The sequence below is a fragment of the Homo sapiens genome, chromosome 19 (assembly GCF_000001405.40).
Source record: "Homo sapiens chromosome 19, GRCh38.p14 Primary Assembly".
NCBI lineage: Eukaryota > Metazoa > Chordata > Mammalia > Primates > Hominidae > Homo > Homo sapiens.
Window position 1 is genome coordinate 18,947,326 of NC_000019.10, and position 24,247 is coordinate 18,971,572.

Sequence of the window (24,247 nt, forward strand, 5' to 3'; positions counted from 1 at the left end):
CTAGCCAGAGGTGGCAAGATCTGGAGGGGCATGGCCAGGCACGATGGCTCACACCTGTAATCCCAGCACTTTGGGAGGCTGAGGCAGGTGGATCACGAGGTCAGGAGTTCAACACCAGCCTGGCCAATGTGGTGAAACCCTGTCTCTATTAAAAATATAAAAAATTAGCCGGGCGTGGTGGTGCATTCCTGTAGTCCCAGCTACTCAGGAGGCTGAGGCAAGAGAATCGCTTGAACTTGGGAGGCAGAGGTTGCAGTGAGCCGAGATCGCGCCACTGTACTCTAGCCTGGGCGGGAGAGCGAGACTCTTGTCTCAAAAAAAAAAAAAAAAAAAAATCTGGAGGGGTTGAGAATCAGCCAGCTCCATGGTGGATTGGTTTGAAGTCTTTTTGTTTTGTTTTGAGACAGAGTCTCGCTGTCATCCAGGCCAGAGTGCAGTGGCACAATCTCGGCTCACTGCAATCTCCCCCTCTCAGGTTCAAGCAATTCTGCTGCCTCAGCCTCCCGAGTAGCTGGGACTACAGGTGCGTGCCGCCACACCCAACTAATTTTTTCATTTTTAGTAGAGATGGAGTTTCACCATGTTGGCCAGGCTGGTCTTGAACACCTAACTTCAAGTGATCCGCCTGCCTGGGCCTCCCAAATTGCTGGGATTACAGGCGTGAGACACCACGCCCGGCCCAGGTCTGTTTTTGATGTGATACCATGGCCGGGAAAGGGGCTGCCAGGGGGTGGGAGTGGGGGTAGTCAGATGGGCCTGGTTTCATATCCCAAGTCCCACCAGCTTGCTGTGTGTTCCTGGGCATATAACCTTTCATGAACTCTTTGCACCTTTCCTGAGGGATGAAACAGGTGTAATTTAAAAAGGGTGCTTTAGGCACTGGGGGTCGGAGCATGGGCAAAGGCCCTGAGGTGGGGCCAGGCAGGACATGTTGCTGGTACATTAGACAGGTGTCTAGAGTGGAGTAAGTGGGAGAAAAGCTTATGGGACTGCTGAGACCTAGGGGGTCACAGGAACTGAGCAGAGCCTTGTGGGTCTTGGTGAGTTGTGTGGGTTTCATTCTGAAGGCACTGGGGAGCCATGGGGAGTTTGGAGCCAGAGAGAGAGGGAGTGGTCACATTGACACTGCAGGCCCTGGGCAGGGTTTCAGCTCTTAGGAAAGAACGAGGTGTCTGTCCATGTGCAGAATGGTCGCAGACCCTACCATTCTCTGAGCCTCAGTTTCCCCACCCTGAGCAGAGTCCTGAGACTAGGGCAGCCCCAGAACACAGTGAGCCCTCTGCCGGGGAAGCCCCACTCTACCCTGGAGCTCCCAAATGCTGGCTGTGCAGCCTACACGGCCTCCTCCCCGCCTGTCCCCCCATCCCACGCTCCTTCTGTGGCCTTGGGGGAGCAGCTGTGGGAACAGAGAGCAGAAGCCCGTGGGGAAGGCAGCTCAGAGGGCCTCTGGGGGCCGTGTTCCTGCTTGGTGACAGCCCACGTGGGGCTGCCGCGCGCCGAATGTTCTCACAGCAGCCAGGTGACTCACATGCTACAGCCTCTTCCCTGGGTCTGCCAGAGGGAGAGTATTCCTAGTCCCCAGGCACAGGCCGGGGTCTCTGGTTTGGCCACCTGTGCCCTGGCTATGCCCTCTAGGATCCCCCCCACCAACACACACCAAGGGACCCCTCTAACTGGCGATGCTGCCCACCTCCTTGCTCCAGCATCTTCCGTGGCTCTCCTGGACACCTCAGAGAGAGGCTCAAGCTCCTCATTGCCCATTGGTCAAGCTGCTCAGCCCCACTTCAGAGCACTTGTACTGGGTCCCACGTATGGCCTGAAATGCCAGCTCTAAGGCCATCTCCTCCAGGAAGCCTTCCAGCCCTCCCCACAACTCTGACAATCCTGACCCCCAGGACGAGGATGCGTCTGTGTCTGGCCCTGCCTCCCTCCCAGACTGGGGGCTAACTGGAGTCCAGGCCCAGGACCCAGGCCTCTCAGGGGCTCCACTGTTATCCAGTATAGGAGTGCACAGCAGGGGCTCTGGGGGAGGAAGGCAAGGTCCAAGTCTGGACCCCATGGGCCTGACATGTAACCAAATTATTTATGTATTTATTTATTTTTATTTATTTATTTTTTTTGAGACAGAGTCTCACTCTGCCACCCAGGCTGGAGTGCAGTGGCGCGATCTCGGCTCACTGCAACCTCCATCTGACAGGTTCAAGCAATTCTCGTGCCTCCGCCTCCTGAGTAGCTGGGACTACAGGCACGTGCCACCACACCCGGCTAAATTTTTTTTGTATTTTTAGTAGAGACGGGGTTTCACTGTGTTAGCCACAATGGTCTCGATTTCCTGACCTCGTGATCCGCCCGCCTCGGCCTTCCAAAGTGCTGAGATTACAGGCATGAGCCACCACGCCCGGCATTAATTTTTATTTTTTGAGAGACAAGGTCTAACTCTGCCGCCCAGGCTGGAGTGCAGTGGTGCGATCTCAGCTCACTGCAGCCTCAGCCTCTTGGGCTCAAGCGATTCTCCTGCCTCAGCCTCCCGAGTCACTGGGATTAGAGGTGTGAGCCACCAAGCCTGGCTAATTTTTTAATATTTTGTAGAGATGGGGTCTTCCTATGTTGTCCAAGCTGCTCTCTAACTCCTGGGCTCAAGCAATCCTCCTGCCTTAGCCTCCCACAGTGCGGAGATTACAGGCATAAGCCACTGCACCTAGCTAACCCATTTCATAGAAGAGAAAACTGAGGCTCAGGGAGCTTGTCAGTTCCCCAAAGTAAAAGTCAGCAGAAGGCTGGAGGTGGTAGCTCATGCCTGTAATCCCAGCTCTTTGGGAGGCGGAGGCAGGCTGCTCACCTGAGGTCAGGAGTTCAAGACCAGCCTGGCCAACATGGTGAAACCCCATCTCTACAAAAATACAAAAAAATGGGCCGGCCATGGTGGCTCATACCTGTAATCCCAGCACTTTGGGAGGCCGAGGTGGGCAGATCACAAGGTCAGGAGATAAAGACCATCCTGGCTAACACGGTGAAACCCCGTCTCTACTAAAAATACAAAAAATTAGCCAGGCATGGTGACAGGCGCCTGTAGCCCCAGCTACTGGGGAGGCTGAGGCAGGAGAATGATGTGAACCCGAGAGGTGGAGCTTGCAGTGAGCCGAGATCGTGCCACTGCACTCCAGCCTGGGTGACAGAGCAAGACTCCGTCTCAAAAAAAAAAAAAAAAAAGAAAAAGAAAAAAATAACCAGGCATGGTAGCTCATGCCTATACTCCCAGCACTTTGGGAGGCCGAGGTGGGTGAATCACCTGAGATCAGGAGTTCAAGACCAGCCTGACCAACATGGTGAAACCCTGTCTATACTAAAAATACAAAAATTAGCTCAGTGTGGTGGCACACGCCTGTAGTCCCAGCTACTCGGGAGGCTGCGGCAGGATAATCACTTGAACCCTTGAACCCGGGAGGCAGAGGTTGCAGTGAGCCAAGATCACGCCATTGCACTCCAGCTTGGGTGACCGAGTGAGACTTCATCTTAAAAAAAAAAAAAAAAAGGCCGGGCATGGCGGCTCACGCCTGTAATCTCAGCACTTTGGGAAGCCGAGGCGGGTGGATCACGAGGTCAGGAGATCGAGGCCATCCTGACTAACACGATGAAACCCCGTTTCTACTAAAAATACAAAAAATTAGCCGAGCGTGGTGGCAGGCGCCTGTAGTCCCAGCTACTTGGGAAGCTGAGGCAGGAGAATGGCGTGAACCTGGGAGGTGGAGCTTGCAGTGAGCCGAGATCACGCCACTGCACTCCAGCCTGGGCAACAGAGCGAGACTCTGTCTCAAAAAAAAAAAAAAAAAAGTCACCAGGAGGCTGGAGGTGGTGGCTCATTCCTGTAATCCCAGCACTTTGGGAGGCCAAACCAGGCAGATCACTTGAGGTCAGGAATTCGAGACCGGCCTGGCCAACATGGCAAAAACCTGCCTCTAGTAAAAACACAAAAAGTAACCCGGGCATGGTGGTGTGCACCTGTAACCCCAGCTACTCAGGAGGCTGAGGTGGGAGAATTGCTTGAACCCAGGAGTCAGAGGTTGCAGTGAGCCCAGATCACACCACTCCACTCCAGCCTGGACGACAGAGTGAGACTTTGTCTCAAAACAACAACAACAAAAAGTCAGCAGAGAGGAAAGGCTGGTCCTGGAACCCCAGTCTGAGAGGCCAAGTCTGCTCCTTGCAACCTCTGGAGCTTTGCTTACCCAGGGAGCAGGTTGGGGGGTTTGCTCATCCACCTGCAGGTGGATTTGGTGCAGCCTGGGCTCAAACTCAAGGGGTCCAACAGCCCTTCCTCCCTGAGCCTCTGTTTCCTCCTCTGTAAAGCAAGGATTATTCATCATTAACTCATGTTTATTAAGCACTTAAGGCATCCAGGTCTGTTAGGACACCCTGCCCTCAGGGACCTCATGTCTGGTAGACAAGGGAACGAGGAAATGACTTCTGACAGGATTTTGCAAAAGAAAGAAAACCAGGCAAAGCACCAGGTCAAGACTGCAGTGGTTGCTGAAGGCTACTTTGTGGAGGTGGTGATTCAGGGCAATAGCACGCCCAAAGGCCCTGAGGCAGGGATGTGTTCAGCCCCTTGGGACAGCATTGAGGAGGCGGCTGTGACTGAAGCAAAGTGAGTTGGGCAGAGTGGGGAGGGCACCATGTAGGCAGGGAGGGCTACAGGCTGGGCATCAGGGACCTGTGGGTCCCCAGGAAGGAATGCAGACTTTATACTTAGAGCACTGGGGAGCCACATAAGGCTTTTGAGCAGGAGAGGGCATGATCTGCTTTTTTTTTTTTTTTTTTTAGACAAGGTCTCACGCTTTCACCCAGGCTGAAGTGCAGTGGCGTGATCATGGCTCACTGCAGCTTCGACCTCCTGGTCTCAGATGATCCTCCCACCTCAGCCTCCCAGGTAGCTGGGACTACAGGTGTGCGCCACTATACCCAGTTGTGATCTTCTTTTGTGTTTAAATATTTGCAGCCGGGTGCGATGGCTCATGTCTGTAATCCCAGCACTTTGGGAGGCCGAGGCAGGAGGATCACTTGAGTCCAGGAGTTCGAGACCAGCCTGGCCAACGTGGTGAAACCCTATCTCTACTAAAAATACAAAAATTAGCCAGGTGTGATGGTGCATGCCTGTGGTCCCAGCTATTCGGGAGGCTGAGGCAGGAAAATCGCTTGAACCTGGGAGGTGGAGGTTGCAGTGAGCCGAGATGGCAGCATTGCACAACAGTCTGGGAAATAGCAAGACTGTCTCAAAAAAAAAAAAAAAAAAAAAGATTTGCAGCCAGGCACAGTGGCTCACACCTGTAATCCCAGGGCCTGAGGGAGGAAACTTGTCTTCATAAACCCTTTCCCATCTTCCTCTGTCTCTCACGAGGTCCTGGATGCTGGCCTCCGGGTCTTATCGCTGAAATCTCAGGCCTCCAACAGCAGGGAAACATCTGCTTTCCGGAGTTCAAGGATCTTCCAGCCCGGACGGAGGTCACAGGGAAGGAGGATCGCTGAAACAAAGAGAAAGGGTCACACGTTGGGCGCTGACTGCATCAACAGGGGAGACACTGGCCAGGTGCGGTGGCTCACTCCTCTAATCCCAGCACTTTGGGAGGCCGAGGTGGGTGGATCATTTGAGGTCAGGAGTTTGAGACAAGCCTGGACAACATGGTGAAACCCTATCTCTACTAAAAATACAAAAAAAAAAAATTAGCCGGGCATTGTGGCACACACCTGTAATCCCAGCTACTCAGGAGGCTGAGTCAAGAGAATCGCTTGAACCTGGGAGGCGGAGGTTTCAGTGAGCCAAGATCACGCCACTGCACTCCAGCCTGGGTGACAGAGTGAGACTCCACCTCAGAAAAATAAAAACACACAAACAAAAATTAGCCGGGCGTGGTGGCACACATCTGTAGTCCTAACTACTGGGGAGGCTGAAACAGGACAACTGCTTGAGCCCAGGAGGTCAAGGCTGCAGTGAGCTCAAATTGCACCGCTGCACTCTAGCGTGGGGGACAGAGCGAGACCTGTCTTGAAAAACAACAAAGAAAAAAAAAAAGAAAAACAACAAAGAAACAAATCCCAAAGTCAATGGGGACCAGAGTCTGGGGAAGGGTGTCAGTACACCCACATCTTGGGGTCCCCCCTAACACCTTGGGGTCCCTCAGGCTTTGGCATCTATCCTGGGACCCAGGAGGGATATAGCTGCTGGTGGCTGGGCCAAGCCCTTGGTGGTAACCCCACTGTTCTGGGGGGTACCATCCAGGGAGGTCATGACCAGTAGCTGAGGGGTTCCTGCAGGGCCCTTCCAGGTGGTAGGTGCTCAGGAGTTGGCTGTTAACAGGTCAGGAGAGTGAGAAACAGAAAGAAACATAGACATACAGACTTGGAGAGCAGTTGCTTGGGGGCTGGCCTCTCGCTTCTAGATGAGACCCTCTCCTGGGGGGCCACTCAGAGTCCATCTGGGACACCACAGCCATGCCCACATGCAAAACAGACATTGTGTAACTGGCCAGTGACCTCCAACTCACATCTGCCAGAGCCCTCCACCTTCTAGCAGTCACAGGGCCCAGGGTGGGTGTTGAGCAGCATCTGGACCTGGCTCGAAGGCAGCTGTCTGGAGTCCTGTGGGAGGAGGGGCTGGCCCTTGAAAAGGCACCTGGGGAGACCAGGTTGGATACAGGGATGCAAGGCACAGGCGCACTAGGGCCACTACCAGTGTGACAGTCTACACTGGGCTCTTCGAAGGGTAGGCGGGGTGCTTAGAGAGTGTTGGGGCTCAAGCTACACCTTTCCACTTCCTCACATGTTCATGCACCCACTCAATGCCTATCCATCCATCCACCCACCCATCCACCCACCCATCCACTCATTCGCCCATCCATCCATCCATCCATCCATCCATCCATCCATCCACCCACCCATCTGCCTGTCCGTCCATCCATCCATCCATCCATCCATCCACCCACCCACCCAGCCATCCATCCATCCATACACCTATCCATCTTCCCATCCATCCAACCATCTATCCGTCCACCCATTCTTCCATTCATCCATCCATCCATCCATCCACCCACCCATCCATCCATCCATACACCTATTCATCTGCCCATCCATCCACTCATCCACCCACCCATCCATCCATCCATACACCCATCCATCTTCCCATCCATCCAACCATCCATCCATCCACCCATTTACCCATCCATCCACATATCCACCTACCCATCCATCCATTCACCTATCCATCTTCCCATCCATCCAACCATCCATCCACCCACCCATCCACCCATCCACCCATCCATCCATCCACCCACCCATCCATCCATCCATACACCTATCCATCTGCCCATCCATCCACCCATCCACCCACCCATCCAGCCATCCATACACCCATCCACCTTCCCAACCATCCATCCATCCATCCACCCATCCACCCATCCATCCATCCACCCATCCACCCATCCATCCATCCACCCGCCCATCCATCCATGCATACACCCATCCATCTCCCCAACCATCCAACCATCCAATCATCTATCCATCCACCCATTCATCCATCCATCCATCCATCCATCCATCCATCCATTCATCCATCCATCCACCCACCCATCCATCCATCCATACACCTATCCATCTGCCCATCCATCCACCCATCCACCCACCCATCCATCCATCCATCCACCCATCCACCCATCCATCCATCTATCCATCCATCCATTCACCCAGCCATCTTCCCATCCATCCAACTATCCATTCATCCATTTACTATTCATTTATCTATCTATACACCCATCCATCCAACCATCCAACCGTGTGTACACTCATCTTCCCATATATTCATCCATTCATCGATCCATTATTTATCCATCCATCTGCCCATCCATCTGCCCAGTCACCCATCCAGTCATTTATCTTCCATCCCCCATCCATCCCCATCCATCCCACCATTCACCAATCCCCCATTCCTATCCCATCCATCCATGCTTCCATCCATCCACCCTCATATGCAGGCATCATCCATGATCCACCCAACTCTACTTCCACTTCTCATACTTCTACTCATTCTTCAAGCCCCAACTCCATGTGCCTTCCTCCTTGCAGCCCTTGGTGTGGCCCAGACCCTCCCTGTCCCTTCCTCTCACCCAGGCCCAACCCATGGAGCGAAGAGTGAATGCACCTGGCTCAGCTTTCAGACTGGAGGCTGCTCGAGAGCAAGGCCTGAGGCCGAGGTTTCTTGGGGGCCCAGCAGCACCAGTGTGAGGGGGCGCCGAGGAGAAGACCAGCAATTTCTGCCTGTGGGCCATTGAGGCATCAGGCCTCCAGGTCAGGGGGGATACCACCCCACCCACCAATAATAAAGCCCCTGTGATTTAAGCCCAATAAAAAGGCCCGGGGAAGGAATTCAGGCTTGGCCTGAGGCCACTCTGGGGTCAGCAAGAGCTCCAGCGACAGATATATCTGGGTTTGTGCTCCACTTTGTCACATGTGCACTGTGTGACACTGAAGAGGTCAGTTTACCTCTCTGAGCCTCAGTTTTCCCATTTGGAAATCAATCTGTCTCATGTTAATTGCACATTTACAAGGAGTTGAGGCCCACATCAGGCCCCATCAGCTGGGATGTATCAGCTCCACTCCAGGGGAGGGGCCAGGAGGAGCTGGGGTGAGGAGAACAGGAAGGGAGGTTGAGAAGGTGGATGGGGCCAGGCGCAGTGGCTTATGCCTATAATCCCAACACTTTTGGAGGCTGAGGCAGAAGGATCATTTGGGGCCAGGAGCTTGAGACCAGCCTGCCAACATAGCGAGACCCCATATCTACAAAATATAAAAAGATTAGCTGGGCATGATAGTGTACACCAGTGGTCCCAGCTACTCGGGAGGTTGAAGTGGGAGGATGGCTTGAGCCTAGGAGGTCGTGGCTGCAGTGAGCCGTGATGGCGCCTCTGTATTCCAGTCTGGATGACAGAGTGAAACCCTATCTCAAAAAAAAAAAAAAAAAAAAAAAAAGGTGGATGGCACTGGTGGGGGGATGGGAGGGGTGTGGGACATAGGTGTATGTTTCCTAATGGATTCAGAGTTCCATATTTTCTTTTTCTTTTCTTCCTTTTTTTTTTTTTTTGAGATGAAGTCTCACTCTGTCACCCAGGCTGGAATGCAATGGGATGACCTCGGCTCATTGCAACCTCCGCCTCTCAGGTTCAAGCAATTCTCCTGCCTCAGCCTCCCGAGTAGCTGGGATTACAGGCACGCGCCATCACGCCCAACTAATTTTTTTTTTTTTTTTTGAGACAGGGTCTTGCTCTGTCGCAGAGCTGGAGTGCAGTGGCATGATCTTGGCTCACTGCAACCTCTGCTTCCTGGGTTCAAGCGTTTCTCCTACCTCAGCCTCCCCAGTAGCTGGGATTACAGGCACTCACTACTATGCCCAGCTATTTTTTTTTTTTTATGTATTTTTAGTAGAGACGGGGTTTCACCATGTTGGTCAGGCTGGTCTTGAACTCCTGACCTCATTTTCTGCCCACCTCGGCCTTCCAAAGTGCTGGGATTACAGGCGTGAGCCACCACACCCAGCCAATTTTTGTATTTTTTAGTAGAGACGGGGTTTCACTATGTTGGCGAGGCTGGTCTCGAACTCCTGACCTCAAATGATCTGTCCGCCTCAGTCTTCTAAAGTGCTGGGATTACAGGCATGAGCCACCGTGCCGGCCTCTTTTCTGATTCTCCAAATAATGTATGCTCATTGTAAAAACAGTTTTAGAAAGCACAGACACGTGTAACGTAAATAATCTAAATAGGTCCCTTGTCATAGCGTTTAATTTCCTTTCTGAATTTTTAATACCTATTTACTTTATGCCTGGTGCTTATTGGTAAATTTTAAAATGCTGGCACAGGAAACAAACTAAGTAAACAAATTCAGATGCCATCCTTGCCCTTGGCCCTAGCTGACACGGACCAGGTGCTCTGTAAATATCTGTTGAGTGAACAAAATTTTAAAAATAAAATCAATGCCCAGAAATAACTGTTACTAACACGATGGTCTATTTCCATCTAGATTTTTTTTCTTTCTTTCTTTTTTTTCTTAGCCCAAATGGAATTACACTATACACATGATTTGTCAGTCAAGGCCAAATTCCAGTGTACATTCTTGAGTTCAGAGACTTCAGCATCACTCACCTTGAAGCTTTTCTATGGTTTGTTAAACAGATCTCCTATGGTTGGACATCTAGGTCACTCTCTGGGGACAGCCTAACAAATAGAATAACACATTTTCTTTTTTTTTTTTTTTTTTCTGAGACAGTCTCACTCTGTCGCCCAGGATGGAGTACAGTGGCGCAATCTCGGCTCACTGCAACCTCCACTTCCTGGGTTCAAGTGATTCTCCTGCCTCAGCCTCCCAAGTAGCTGGGACTACAGGCACCCACCACCACGGCCGGCTAAGTTTTGTGTTTTTAGTAGAGATGGGGTTTTACCATGTTGGCCAGGCTGGTCTCAAATTCCTGACCTCAAGTGATCACCGGCCTCGGCCTCCCAAAGTGTTGAGTTTACAGGCATGAGCCACCGAGCCCAGCCAAACACACGTTTTCAAGTTTTCTCCTTCTCCTTTTCCTTTTTTTTTTTTTTTTTGAGACAGGGGTCTCAGTATGTTGCCCGTCTGGAGTGCAGTGGCTATTCACAGGTGTGATCCCACTACTGATCAGCACAAGAATTTTACCTACTCAGTTTCCAACCTGGGCCGGTTCACCTCTCCTTAGGCAACCTGGTGGTGGTCTCCCGCTCCCTGGGAGGTCACCATATTGACACCAAACTTACTGTAGTCACCCAATTGGCATAGTGCACTACAGCCCAGAACTCCCGGATTCAAGTGATTCTTCCACCTCAGTCTCCTGAGTAGCTGGGACTACAGGCATTCATCCCTGAACCCAGCTTTTCAGCATTTTTGATGAATACTTAAGACCACATCACCTTCCATACAGGGGACCTTACTTGGCTCCCAGCAGTGATGGGTGAGTGTGTCCATTTCTCTGAATGTCTGACATTTGCAAATGAATGTTAGAGATATTTGCTTTGCAAGATGTAGATTAAAATCAGAAGCCATAAACCAGGCATGGCGCCTCGTGCCTATAATCCCAGCACTTTGGGAGGCCCAGGATGGAGGATCGCTTGAGTCCAGGAGTTCGAGACCAGCCTGGGCAACACAGCAAGATCCTGTCTCTACCAAAAAAAAGTTTTTGTTTTTGTTTTTGTTTTTTTGAGACAGAGTCTCACTCTGTCATCTAGGCTGGAGTGCAATGGCACAATCTTGGTTTACTGCAACCTCCGTCTCCCAGGTTCAAGCGATTCTCTCGCCTCTGCCTTATGAGTAGCTGGGACTACAGGCACGCACGACCATGTCCGACTAATTTTTGTATTTTTAGTAGAGACGGGGTTTCACCATGTTGGCCAGGCTGGTCTTGAACTCCCGACCTCAGGTGATTTCGCCCACCTCCTTGGCCTCCCAAAGTGCTGGGATTGATTACACACGTTTCCAAACAGTGGATCCCACAAGAAAAGAAGGTGTCATCGTAGGTGACAGAATGGAGGTCCCTGTCTGAGGGAGGGACCGCTGAGCCTCAAGTGAGTAGGCTACAAGGCTGGCAGGGAGGTCACCCCATCCTATGGCCTAAGATTGTCCCCAAACATAAAGCTTGAACCCTGAGGCCCCTTGATTGGTTTCCTTGGTCCTTGGCCAGCATTTAAACTCTCCTTTTTTTAAATTTCTTGAGACAGTTTCTCACTCCGTCACCCAGGCTAGAGTGCAGGGCACAATCTCGGCTCACTGCAACCTCTGCCTGTTGGGTTCAAGTGATTCTCCTGTCTCAGCCCCCATGAGTAGCTGGGGCTACAGACATGCGCCACCATGCCCTGCTAATTTTTGTATTTTTAGTAGTAACAGGGTTTCACCATGTTGATCAGGCTGGTCTTGAACTCCTGACCTCAAGTGATCCACCTGCCTCGGCCTCTCAAAGGTGCTGGGATTACAAGGGTGAGCCACCGTGCCCAGCCTACACTCTCTTGACAAAGGTTTTTATAAATCCCAATTTGGCTGGGTGCCGTGGCTCATGCTTGTAATCCCAGTACTTTGGGAGGCTGGGGCCAGGGGATCACTTGAGCCCAGGAGATTGAGACCAGTCTGGGGCAACATGGCAAAACCCATCTCTACAAAAAATAAAATAAAATTAGCCAGGCATGGTGGTGCATGCCTGTGGTCCAAGCTTCTTAGGAGGCTGATGTGGGAGGATCGCTTGAGCCCAGGAATTAGAGGCTGCAGTGAGCCATGATTGTGCCACTGTACTCCAGCCTGGGTGACACAGTGAGACCCTGTCTCGGAAAATAAATAAATAAAAGACTGTCTGGGCCAGGTGCCGAGGCTCACGCCTGTAATCCCAGCACTTTGGGAGGCTGAGGCGGGCAGATTGCTTGAGCCTGGTAGTTTGAGACCAGACTGGCCATCATAGTGAAATCCCATCTCTACTAAAAATAAAAAAATTAGTTGGGTGTGGTGGCGCACACCGATAGTCCCAGCTACTTGGGAGACTAAGGTGGGAGAATCACTTGAGCCTGGGATCAAGGCTGCAGTGAGCCGTGATCAACCTCTGCACTCCAGCCTGTGTGACAGAGTGAGGCTCTGTTTCAAAACACCACCAATGACAAGAAAACCCATGACCGTCCGGGCGCGGTGGCTCGTGCCTGTAATCCCAGCACTTTGTGAGGCCGAGGTGGATGGATCCTGAGATCAGGGGTTTGAGACCAGCCTGGCCAACATGGTGAAACCCCATCACCACTAAAGATACAAAAAATTAGTCGGGCGTGGTGGCACGTACCTGAAATCCCAGCTACGTAGGAGGCTGAGGTAGGAGAATCGCTTGAACCCGGGAGGTGGAGGTTGCAGTGAGCCGAGATCGTGCCATTGCACTCTAGTCTGGGCAACAGAGCAAGACTCCGTCTCAAAAAAAAAAAAAAAAAGAAAATCCATGAGCACTCAGACCTGCAGCCAGTGAAGGCAAGGTAGAGATGGGACCCCACCCTTCAGCCTGTGTCTTACATTTTTAGGGGGCTAATTTAATTTAGAATGTCCAGCAGGGAAGTGTGTCTAGCTGTCCAGTGAGGGGAGCCTCAAGCTATCTTCCCACCTCAGCCTCCCAAACCACTGGGATTACAGGCATGAGTCACTGTACCTGGCCTGAAGGTCCCTTTTACAGATAAGAAAACTGAGGTTCAGGGCCGGCTTCTGCCCCTGCCCAACCTGCTGGCTTCTTCCTCAGCCAGCCCTCTCCAACTACTGCCTATTTCTTTTTTTCTTTCTTTCTCTTTTTTTGAGACGGAGTCTCGCTCTGTCAACAAGGCTGGAGTGCAATGGCATGATCTCGGCTTACTGCAACCTCTGCCTCCCAGGTTCAAGTGATTCTCCTGCCTCAGCCTCCTGAGTAGCTGGGATTACAGGCATGCACCACCATGCCCGCATAATTTTTTTTTTTTTTTTTTTTTGAGACGGAGTCTCGCTCTGTCTCCCAAGCTGGAGTGCAGTGGCGCGATCTCGGCTCACTGCAAGCTCCGCCTCCCGGGTTCACGCCATTCTCCTGCCTCAGCCTCCCGAGTAGCTGGGGCTACAGGCGCCCGCCACCACACCGGGCTAATTTTGTTTTTGTATTTTTAGTAGAGACGGGGTTTCACCGTGTTAGCCAGGATGGTCTTGATCTCCTGACCTCGTGATCCGCCCGCCTTGGCCTCCCAAAGTGCTGGGATTACAGGCGTGAGCCACAGCGCCCGGCTCTTTTTTTTTTTTTTTTTGAGACAGAGTCTCACTGTTGCCCAGGCTGGAGTGCAGTTGCGCCATCTCGGCTCACTGCAACCTCCGCCTCCTGAGTTCAAGCGATTCTCCTGCCTTGGCCTCCCTAGTAGGTGGGATTACAGGCGTGCACAACCATGCCCTGTTAATGTTTGTATTTTTAGTAGAGACGGGATTTCACCATGTTGGCCAGGCTGGTCTCGAACTCCTGACCTCAGGTGATCCACCCGCCTCAGCCTCCCAAAGTGTTGGAATTACAAGTGTGAGCCATCATGGCCAGCCACTACTGCCTATTTCTGCATCTCCTGTTCCAGACAAACGGAAGAAACAAGGCCATTTATTGAGCGCCGGTGATATGCTGAGCGCTCAACCTGCATCCTCAAAGATCGTCGATCCAACAGCCTGCTAGGAGTGGATCAATCGAGTCACAGAGGGGGCTCGACCCCCACTCACTGTAGAGAGGGGAAAGCTGAGGTTCAGAGGTGAAACGATACTCCCGGGGTCACACGGCAAGGACATGTAGGGGCAGGTTTTGGGACGAGGCTATTCCTGCATCCACGGTATAGAAAGAAGGCGGGGCGCAAAGGTCAGCCGGTGCTAGGGACCAGACAGCGGCCCATAGGGAGGAGTGGACTTGGGTCCAGGATGCGCCTGATGGGGCGGGGCTATCTTTATTGGGTGGGCAGTGCAGGACCAGGCTGCCCCATCAGGTGGAAGCGGGGCGAAGTGCACCTGTGCAGAGGGTTTGGGGGCGTGGCTAGAGGCTGAGATGCGCCGGGTGGGCTGGGGCTGGGGCTGGGGCTGGGCGGAGCGGGCGGCTCAGCACTGCAGCGGAAGAGCTTTCTTGCTACACGCAGTTGAGGCTAAGCTACCAGCAGGATGAAAGGATCCTGCTGTGGGTGATCGTGCACAAATAAGGCTGCGAGGTCACGTCGTCCATGCACTGAGAGAAACGAGAGGACCCCCGGCCTCAGCTCCTAGTCCAGCAAATGGAGGCACCATCCTTGACTCCTGTCTGTGCCTGTCTGCGCCTCAGCAAGCCTCAGTCTCCATATCTGTCGAATGGGCATGCCATCCCCGAGATGGAAGGGACCTTTTGTGCACCAGAGCTGGTCCCTTCCTTGTGCCCCCACAGCCTCAGAATAAAGCCAAACACCTCACCTGTCCACCCTCAACTCCCTCCACCATCCCCCTTATTCACTGTACTCCAGCCACAGGCTTCCCAGTTGGTCTTTGCACAGGGCAACAACATTACCGCCCCAGAGCCTTTGCATATGCTATCTGAGCCGCCTACTCTCAGTTCTTCCCTATGACTAACTGCTCCTTTAGGAGTCGACTAAATGCTACCATCCTGGCCAAAATAGCCTCCCCTCTCTGCAGTTTCAAATCCATGGAGGGAGTGGATTTTGGGCTAACTGGATACTACTACAAAAAATATACATATATATGCCCGGTGCAGTGGCTCACGCCTGTAATCCCAGCACTTTGGGAGGCCGAAGCAGGCGAATCACCTGAGGTCAGGAGTTCGAGACCCATCTGGCCAACATGGCAAAACCCCATCTCTACTAAAAATACAAATAAATTAGCCGGCTATGGTGGCACACGCCTGTAATCCCAGCTACTTGGGAGGCTGAGGCAGGGGAATCGCTTGAACCGGCGAGGCGGAGGTTGCAATGAGCCAAGATCGCGCCACTGCACTCTCTGGGGGATAGAGCGAGACTCTGTCTCCAAAAAAATAAAATAATAATTCCAAATGGACCTGAGATGTGAATATGCACCCTGCGAACACTAGAAGAGGCTATGTGCAGCCAGGTGTAGTGGCGCATGCCTGTAATCCTAGCATTTTGGGAGACTGAGGCAGGTGGATCACCTGAGGTCAGGAGTTCGAGACCAGCCTGGCCAACATGGTGAAACACTGTCTCTACTAAAAATACAAAAACTTAGCCGGTCATGATGGCAGGTGCCTGTAATCCCAGCTACTCCAGAGGCTGACCCAGAAGAATTGCTTGAACCCGGGAGGCAGAGGTTGCAGTGAGCCGAGGTCGTGCCACTGTACCCCAGCCTGGGCAACAAGAGCAAAACTCCGTCTCAAAAAAGAATAATAATAATAAGAGGGTATGTGTGCATTTCTGTAAGGTCTGGGAAGGGAAAGAGCTTTCATAATGATCAATCAGAGCCCAGGAGCAACAATGGGAAGGACGTGTGTATTCATACATGTATGTGTGTGTGTAAGAGTAAAATAGGCCGGGTGCGGTGGCTCATGCCTGTAATCCCAGCACTTTGGGAGGCCGAGGCAGGCAGATCACTTGAGGTCAGGAGTTCGAGACCAGCCTGGCCAACATGGTAAACCCTGTGTCTACTAAAAATACAAAAATTAGCCAGGCATGATGGTGCGTGCCTGTAATCCCAGGCACTCAGGAGGCTGAGGCATGAGAATCACTTGAACCCAGGAGGCGGAGGTTTCAGTGAGCCGAGATCACGCCATTGCACTCCAGCCTGGGGGTCACAGCGAGACTCTGTCTAAAATACAAAAAACAAAAAAAGAGTAAAATAAAACCTTTGGCCAGGCACAGTGGCTCATGCCTGAAATCCCAAAGCCTTTGAAGGCTGAGGCAAGAGGATCACTTGAGGCCAGGAGTTCGAGATGAACCTGGGCAATATAGCAAGACTCTGTCTCTACAAAAAATAAAAAATTAACTAGGCACATTGGTACGTGCCTGTAGTCCCAGCTATGCGTGAAGCTGAGGTAGGAGGATCACTTGAGCCCAGGAGTTTGAGGTTACAGTGAGCTGTGATTGTGCCACTGCAACTGCACTCCAGCCTGGGAGACAGAGTGAGAACCTGTCTCAAAATAATAATAATAGGCCAGGCCTGGTGGCTCACGACTGTAATCCCAGAACTTTGGGAGGTTGAGGTGGGCGGATCATGAGGTCAGGAGTTCAACACCAGCCTGGCAAACATGGTGAAACCCAGTCTCTACTGAAAATACAAAAATTAGCCAGGCGTGGTGGCGGGTGCCTGTAACCCCATCTACTGGGGAGGCTGAGGCAGGAGAATCGTTTGAACCCGGGAGGCAGAGGTTGCAGTGAGATGACATCACGCCATTGCACTTCAGCCTGGGCGATAAGAGCGAGACTCCGTCTCAAAAAACAAAAAACAACACCAAAACAACAAACAACAACAACAACAACAACAAAATAATAATAATAATAATAATGCATTGAACAATGATCATGAGTTTTAAAAAATGAAAAAAACCAAAACAAAACAATGAGCTGGGGCCAGGTGCTGTGGCTCATACCTATAATCCCAGCACTTTGGGAGGTTGTGGTCGTGATACAGGAGATAGAAATTATTTTGGCAGACAGTGAGGGTAAAAGAGTCCTGGGAATTTCTCTTTTAACAAAAAGCAGCCCCCCAAATCATTTCTTTCTTTTTTTAATTTTTATTTTTTGAGACGGAGTTTCGTTCTTGTCACCCAGGCTGTAGTGCAGTGGCACGATCTTGGCTCACTGCAACCTCTGCCTCCCTGGTTCAAGCAATTCTGTCTCAGCCTCCCGAGTAGCTGGGATTACAGGCGTGTGCCACCATGCCCGGCTAATTTTTGTATTTTTAGTAGAGACGGGGTTTCACCATGTTGGCCAGGCTGGTCTCAAACTACTGACTTCAGGCGATCCACCCACCTCGGCCTCCCAAAGTGCTGGGATTACAGGCGTGAGACACTGTGCCCGGCCTTCTTTTACGAGATGGAGTCTCACTCTGTCGCCCAGGCTGGAGTGGAGTGGTGCAATCTCGGCTCACTGATACCTCTGCCTCCCAGGTTCACGCTACTCTCCTGCCTCAGCCTCCCAAGTAGCTAGGATTACAGGCATGTGCCACCATGCCCAGCTAATTTTGGTATTTTTAGTAGAGATGGGGTTTCACTATGTTGGCCAGGCTGGTCTTCAACTCCTGACCTTGTGATTCACCCACCTCGGCCTCCCAAAGTTTTGGGATTACAGGCGTGAGCCACCGTGCCCAGCCGCAACTCATTTCTTTTTTCTTTTCTTTTTTTCTTTTTTTTTTGAGACAGAGTTTAGCTCTTTTTGCCCAGGCTGGATTGCAACGGCGCGAGCTTGGCTCACCGCAACCTCCGCCTCCCGGCTTCAAGCGATTCTCCTGCCTCAGCCTCCCGAGCAGCTGGGATTACAGGTGCCTGCCACCACACCCGGCTAATTTTTTGTATTTTTAGCAGAGACAGAGTTTCACCATGTTGGCCAGGATGGTCTCGATCTCTTGACCTCGTGATCTGCCCACCTTGGCCTCCCAAAGTGCTGGGATTACAGGAGTGAGCCACAGCGCCCGGCCAACTCATTTCTTTTCTAACAAAAAACAGCCTGAAAAATCGAGCTGCAGACATGGATAAGCAAGTGGGAAGCTTCCAGGGGTGAATACCAGCAGCTGTGTCAATGGAAAAGGGCCACCTGAGGGCCTGGCATGTTCAACATGGGGGCTCCAGCTTCCCTTTTTTTTGGTCACTACGTGTACAGTAAAGAAACAGGTTTTAGTTTGGCTGGGCACGGTGGCTCATGCCTGAAATCCCAGCACTTTGGGAGGCTGAGGCAGGTGGATCACCTGAGGTCAGGAGTTCGAGACCAGCCTGGCCAACATGGCGAAACCCCGTCTCTACTAAAAATACAAAAATTAGCCAGGCATGGTGGTGGGCGCCTATAATCTCAGCTACTCAGGAAGCTGAGGCAGGAGAATCGCGGGAACCCAGGAGGTAGAGGTTGCAGTAAGCCAAGATCGAGCCACTGCACTCCAACCTGGGCGACAAAAAAAAATGAACAGGCAACATGGCGCCAGCCAGCTAGAGAACTCATCTGCATAATAAAAGATTAAGAAGCCAGGCGCAGTGGTTCATGCCTGTAATCACAGCACTTTGGGAGGATGAGGCAGCAGATCATGAGGTCAGAGTTTGAGACCAGCCTGGCCAAGAGACCAGCCTGGCCAACATAGTGAAACCCCATCTCTACTAAAAAAATTAGCCGGGCATGGTTGCAGGCACCTGTAATCCCAGCTACTCAGGAGGTTGAGGCAGGAGAATTGCTTGAACCAGGGAGGCAGAGGTTGCAGTGAGCTGAGATCGCACCATTGCACTCCACCTGGGAGACTCAAAAAAAAAAAAAAAAAAAGAAAGAAAAGAAAGAAAAAAAAGATTAGGATGGGAAGGCCAGCTTTTCACACCCTATGCAAATTACACACATAGCCTTAACCAGGTTTTTACACCCTATGCAAATGAAACACCTGGTCCAACCAATCTTTTGTGCCCTATGGAAATCAGACACCACCTCCTTAAGCTCATCCATAAAACTCACTGCTTTTTACTGAGGAAGTGGAAACCCGTTCAAGATCCCTCTCTCTGCAGCAGAGAGAGCGCTTCTCTTTCTTTCACCGATTAAACTTCCACTCTGAACCTCACTCTTTGTATGTCTGAGTCCTAGTTTTCCGGGCCTGTGAGACAACAAATCTTGGGTATTTACCCCAGACAACAACACTACTCCAGTGGGAGGGAACACTTGAAGCCAGGAGTTTGAGGCCGGCCTGGGCAACTTATTGAGACACCATTTCTATAAAACAAACAAACAATAAGCAGGGGCTAGGCATGGTGGCTCACGCCTGTAATCCCAGCACTTTGGGAGGCTGTGGCGGGCAGATCACCTGAGGTCAGGAGTTCGAGATCAGCCTGGCCAATATGGTGAAACCCTGTCTCTACTAAAAACACAAAAATTAGCCAGGCATGGTGTCAGGTGCCTGTAGTCCCAGCTACTTGGGAGGCTGAGGCAGGAGAATCACTTGAACCCAGGAGGTGGAGGTTGCAGTAAACTGAGATCGCACCACTGCACTCCAGCCTGGGTGACAGGGCGAGACTCCAACTCAAAAAAAAAAAAAAAAAAAAAAAGCTGGGCACGGTGGCTCATGTCTGTAATCCCAGCACTTTGAGAGGCTGAGGTGGGTGGATCACCTGAGGTCAGGAGTTTGAGACCAGCCTGGCCAACATGGTGAAACTCCGTTTCTACTAAAAATACAAAAATTAGCCGGGAGTGGTGGCACACGCCTGTAATCCCAGCTACTAGGGAGGGTGAGACAGGAGAATCACTTGAAAGGAGAATCACTTGAACCTGGGAGGCAAAGGTTGCAGTGAGCCAAGATTGTTCCACTGCACTCCAGTCAGCCTGGGTGACAGAGAGAGACTCTGTCTCAAAAAACAAACAAACAAAACAGTCAGCAGGAACAGGCTCCAGGGAGAGACGTTCTGCTGCCTGGGTTGGGAGGGCTATGAGAAGTTGGCAGAAGGAGGAGCCTAGGGAGGTTCCTAGATTTTTCTGAGTGCTTGAGGACTCTCTCTCTGATTTGGGGAGGCTTAGGGAGCACTGGGCAGCTCTGAGAGTGGCCTGGGAGCCTGGCTGTGCCCCCTGCAATCCTGATGCTTTGGGGTAAGCAGGTGTTTGCCCCACCAGGCCGGAGGGCAGAGCAGTTCCTCTGGAACATCTCCCAATGCACAAAGGTTCTGGATATGGGTATGACTGTGAACTTCCCCTCGGCAAATACCTCCCCGACGGAAATGCACACGCAGCCTTCTCTCTTGGAATAAGGCAGGAAAATAAAAAAATAAAAATAAAAAATAAATGTATAAGAAGGTGAAGTCACAACGGGCAGTAGACAGTTGGGGATATTGCACCATCCCTGCAGGAAGGAAGCACCTTGGAGCTGACCCAGGCCGCCTCACTCTGCTTCCTTTTGAAACGCTCGTGACTTTTCAAATACTGCATTTTGCTGACAGGGCAAAGCATGCTCAGCTGGCCATGACGACAGGCTCTCTGGAGACTTGGAGAATGTTCCAGGTTGACTCAGAGGAATGCAGGTTGGAATCCCTGCTTCATCTCTGGTTACCTCTGTGAGCTTGGGCAAGGATGGGCTTTTTATTTTTATTTTTATTTTATTTTATTTATTATTATTATTTTTTAAGACAGAGTCTTGCTCTGTCACCAGGCAGGAGTGCAGTGGCAGGATCTCGGGTCTTCGCACCCTCCACCTCCTGAGTTCAAGTGATTCTCCAGCCTCAGCCTCCTGGGTAGCTGGGATTAAAGGCACCTACCACTACACCTGGCTAATTTTTGTATTTTTAGTAGAGATGGGGTTTCACCGTGTTGATCAGGCTGGTCTCGAACTCCTGACCTTGTGATCCGCCTGCCGTGGCCTCCCAAAGTGTGAGCCACTGTGCCCAGTCCCAGGCTTTTTAATAAACTCTTCTGGAGTAACTGGGTATCTGTGTGGCACAAAATAAACCTTGATCCCTACCTCACACCCTACACACAAAAATTCACCTTTGGGGAAAGCCCTTTCTCACTCTGAGTCTCTTCTGGGCCATGGTTTCCAACTCATAGAGCTGCTGTGGTACTGGGTCCCAGCAGCCCTGCCTGAACACTTCGCAAAAAGTAACTATCATTGGAGGTGTGGGGGTTCATGCCTAGAATTCCAGTGCTATGGGAGGATGAGGCAGGAGGATCACTTGAGGCCAGGAGTTCTAGACCAGCCTGGGCAACATATGCAGACCTCATCTGTCATATATATATATATATATATATTTTTTTTTTTTTTTTTTTTGAGACAGAGTTTTGTTCGTTCCCCCAGGCTGGAGTGCAGTGGTGCAATCTCAGCTCACTGCAACCTCTGCCTCCCAGGTTCAAGCAATTCTCCTGCCTCAGCCTCCCAAGTAGCTGGTGTGTACCACCATGCTTGACTATTTTTTTGTATTTTTGGTAGAGACGGGGTTTTACCATGTTGGCCAGGCTAGTCTCTAACTCCTGACCTCAAGTGATCCACCCACCTTGGCCTCCCAAAGTGCTGGGGTTACAGGTGTGAACCACAGCGCCTGGCCCCCACCTCTTCATATTGTCACATGGGTCTTAGGCTTCCACATATGAATTCCAGGAGGACACATACATTTGGGCCATAGGAGAGACAACACATCAGACTCTCAGGAAGGACTGAAGGGGTGGGAGTGGGATTCTGTATTCGATGGGACTCTGCAAATTTGAATTGTTCACATAGTATACAGTGATTCCCTTTTATCGGAGGTTTCACTTTCTTTCTTTCTTTCTTTTTTTTTTTGAGATGGAGGCTTGCTCTGTCTCCCAGGCTGGAGTGCAGTGCTACGATCTCGGCTCACTGCAACCTCCACCTCCCAGGTTCAAGTGATTCTCCTGCCTCAGCCTCTGGAGTAGCTGGGATTACAGGCACGCACCACCACACCCAGCTAATTTTTGTATTTTTAGTACAGATGCAGTCTCGCCATACTGGTCAGGCTGGTCTTGAACTCATGACCTCAGGTGATCCACCTGCCTGGGCCTCCCAAAGTGCTGGGATTACAGGCGTGAGCCACCGCACCCGGCCTGAGGTTTCATTTTCTGTGGTGTTGGCTACCTTCCATCAACCTCAATCCAAACATATTAAGTGGAAAATTCCAGAAATAATTCGTAAGTTTTCAGTTGCCTGCCGTTATGAGTAGTGTGATGAAATCAGTCCCCACCCCGCCCCCTCCCACCCTGGATATGAATCATCCCTTTGTTAAGGGTGCCCACGCCATAGACACTACCAGCCGGCTAGTCACTTAGTAATCTTCTGGGTGATCAGATCAACCGTGTCAGTATTACAGTGCTTATGTTCCAGAAATCCAAATTTTATTAATTTTCTATTTTATTATGTTATTGTTGTTAATCTTTTACTGTGTCTCACTGATAAATTAAACTTTATCATAGGTATGTATGTATGCATAGGAAAAAAACAGTGCATACACGTTTGGTATTTTCTGAAGTTTCAGGAATTTACTGGCAATCTTGGAACATATTCCCCACAGGCAAGGGGGAACTATTGTATTATTTTGGTATTCAAAATAAAAGAGGCTGGGCATGGTGGCTCATGCCTGTAATCCCAGCACTTCGGGAGGCCAAGGCAGGAGCAATCGATCCCTTGAGCCCAGGAGTTCGAGACCAGCCTGGGTAACATAGTGACAGCCCGCCTTTACAAAAACTTTGAAAAGTAGCCGGGTGTGGTAGCTCGTGCCTGTAGTATCAGCTACTCTGGAGGCTGAGGTAGAATTGTCTTGGGCCCAGGAGGCTGCAGTGAGTTATGATCACGCCACTGCACTCCAGCCTGGGGGACAGCATGAGAGCCTGTCTCAAAAAATTAAAACAAAATAGCACACAGAAAAAAGTTTTTGAAATTAGCCTCAATAACTTGACAGTTTCATCCATGTCAGGGATCAAGCCTGAACTCTGGATGAATCACATATCTATTTTTTTTTCTTTTTTTGGGGGAGACAGAGTGAGACTGTCTCCCAGGCTGGAGTGCAGTGGCACGATCTCGGCTTGCTGCAACTTGTCTCTTGGCTTCACGCAATTCTCATGCCTCAGCCTCCCAAGTAGCTGGGATTACAGGCATGCGCCACCACGCCTGGCTAATTTTTGTATTTTTAGTAGAAACGGGGTTTCACCATGTCAGCCAAGGCTGGTCTTGAGCTCCTGACCTCAGATGATCTGCCTGCCTTAGCCTCCCAAAGTGCTGGGATTACAGGCGTGAGCCACCGCCCCGGCCTTGAACTTTAATTTGTCTCCTGTTCTGACCTGCCTCAGGTGGAGCTCTGCTGGGTGGGTGGGGCTGATAGCCTTTCCCGTCCTACATGAGTTGTAGATATGTGTGTGTGTGTGTATATATATGTGTGTGTTTATGTGAGTGTGTATGTGTGTGAGAGAGATGAATTCTTTTTTTCTTTTTACTTTTTTCTGTTTTTTTTTTCTAGGCGGAGTTTTGCTCTGTTGCCCAGTCTCAAGTGCAATGGAGCGATCTTGGATCATTGCAACCTCTGCCTCCCGGATTCAAGTGATTCTCCCACCTCAGCCTCCTGAGTAGCTGGGATTACAGGTGCCTGCCACCATGCCTGGTTAATTTTTGTATTTTTAGTAGAGATGGGGTTTCACCATATTGGCCAGGCTGGTCTCGAACTGCTGACCTCAGGTGACCCGCCCTCCTCGGCTTCCCAAAGTGCTGGGATTACAGGTGTGAGCCACTGTGCCTGGCCAAGAGATGTATGTTGTATTTTTTTTTAAGCAGAGGAAAGAAGTATAAACATTAAATTTAAAAACAAAACTTTTGGCCAAGCATGGTGGCTCAGTCCTGTAATCCCAGCACTTTGGGAGGCTGAGGCAGGTGGGTTACCTGAAGTCAGGAGTTCAAGACCAGCCTGCCAACGTGGAGAAACCCTGTCTTTACTAAAAATACAAAAATTAGCTGGGCATGATGGCGCATGCCTGTAATTCTAGGCACATGGGAAGCTGAGGCGGGAGAATCACTTGAACCCGGGAAGTGGAGGTT

General features: G+C 51.0%; 1 pseudogene; it reads right to left on the reverse strand.

Moving 5' to 3' along the window:
* Positions 10,632-10,933, reverse strand: RN7SL70P (RNA, 7SL, cytoplasmic 70, pseudogene; annotated as a pseudogene).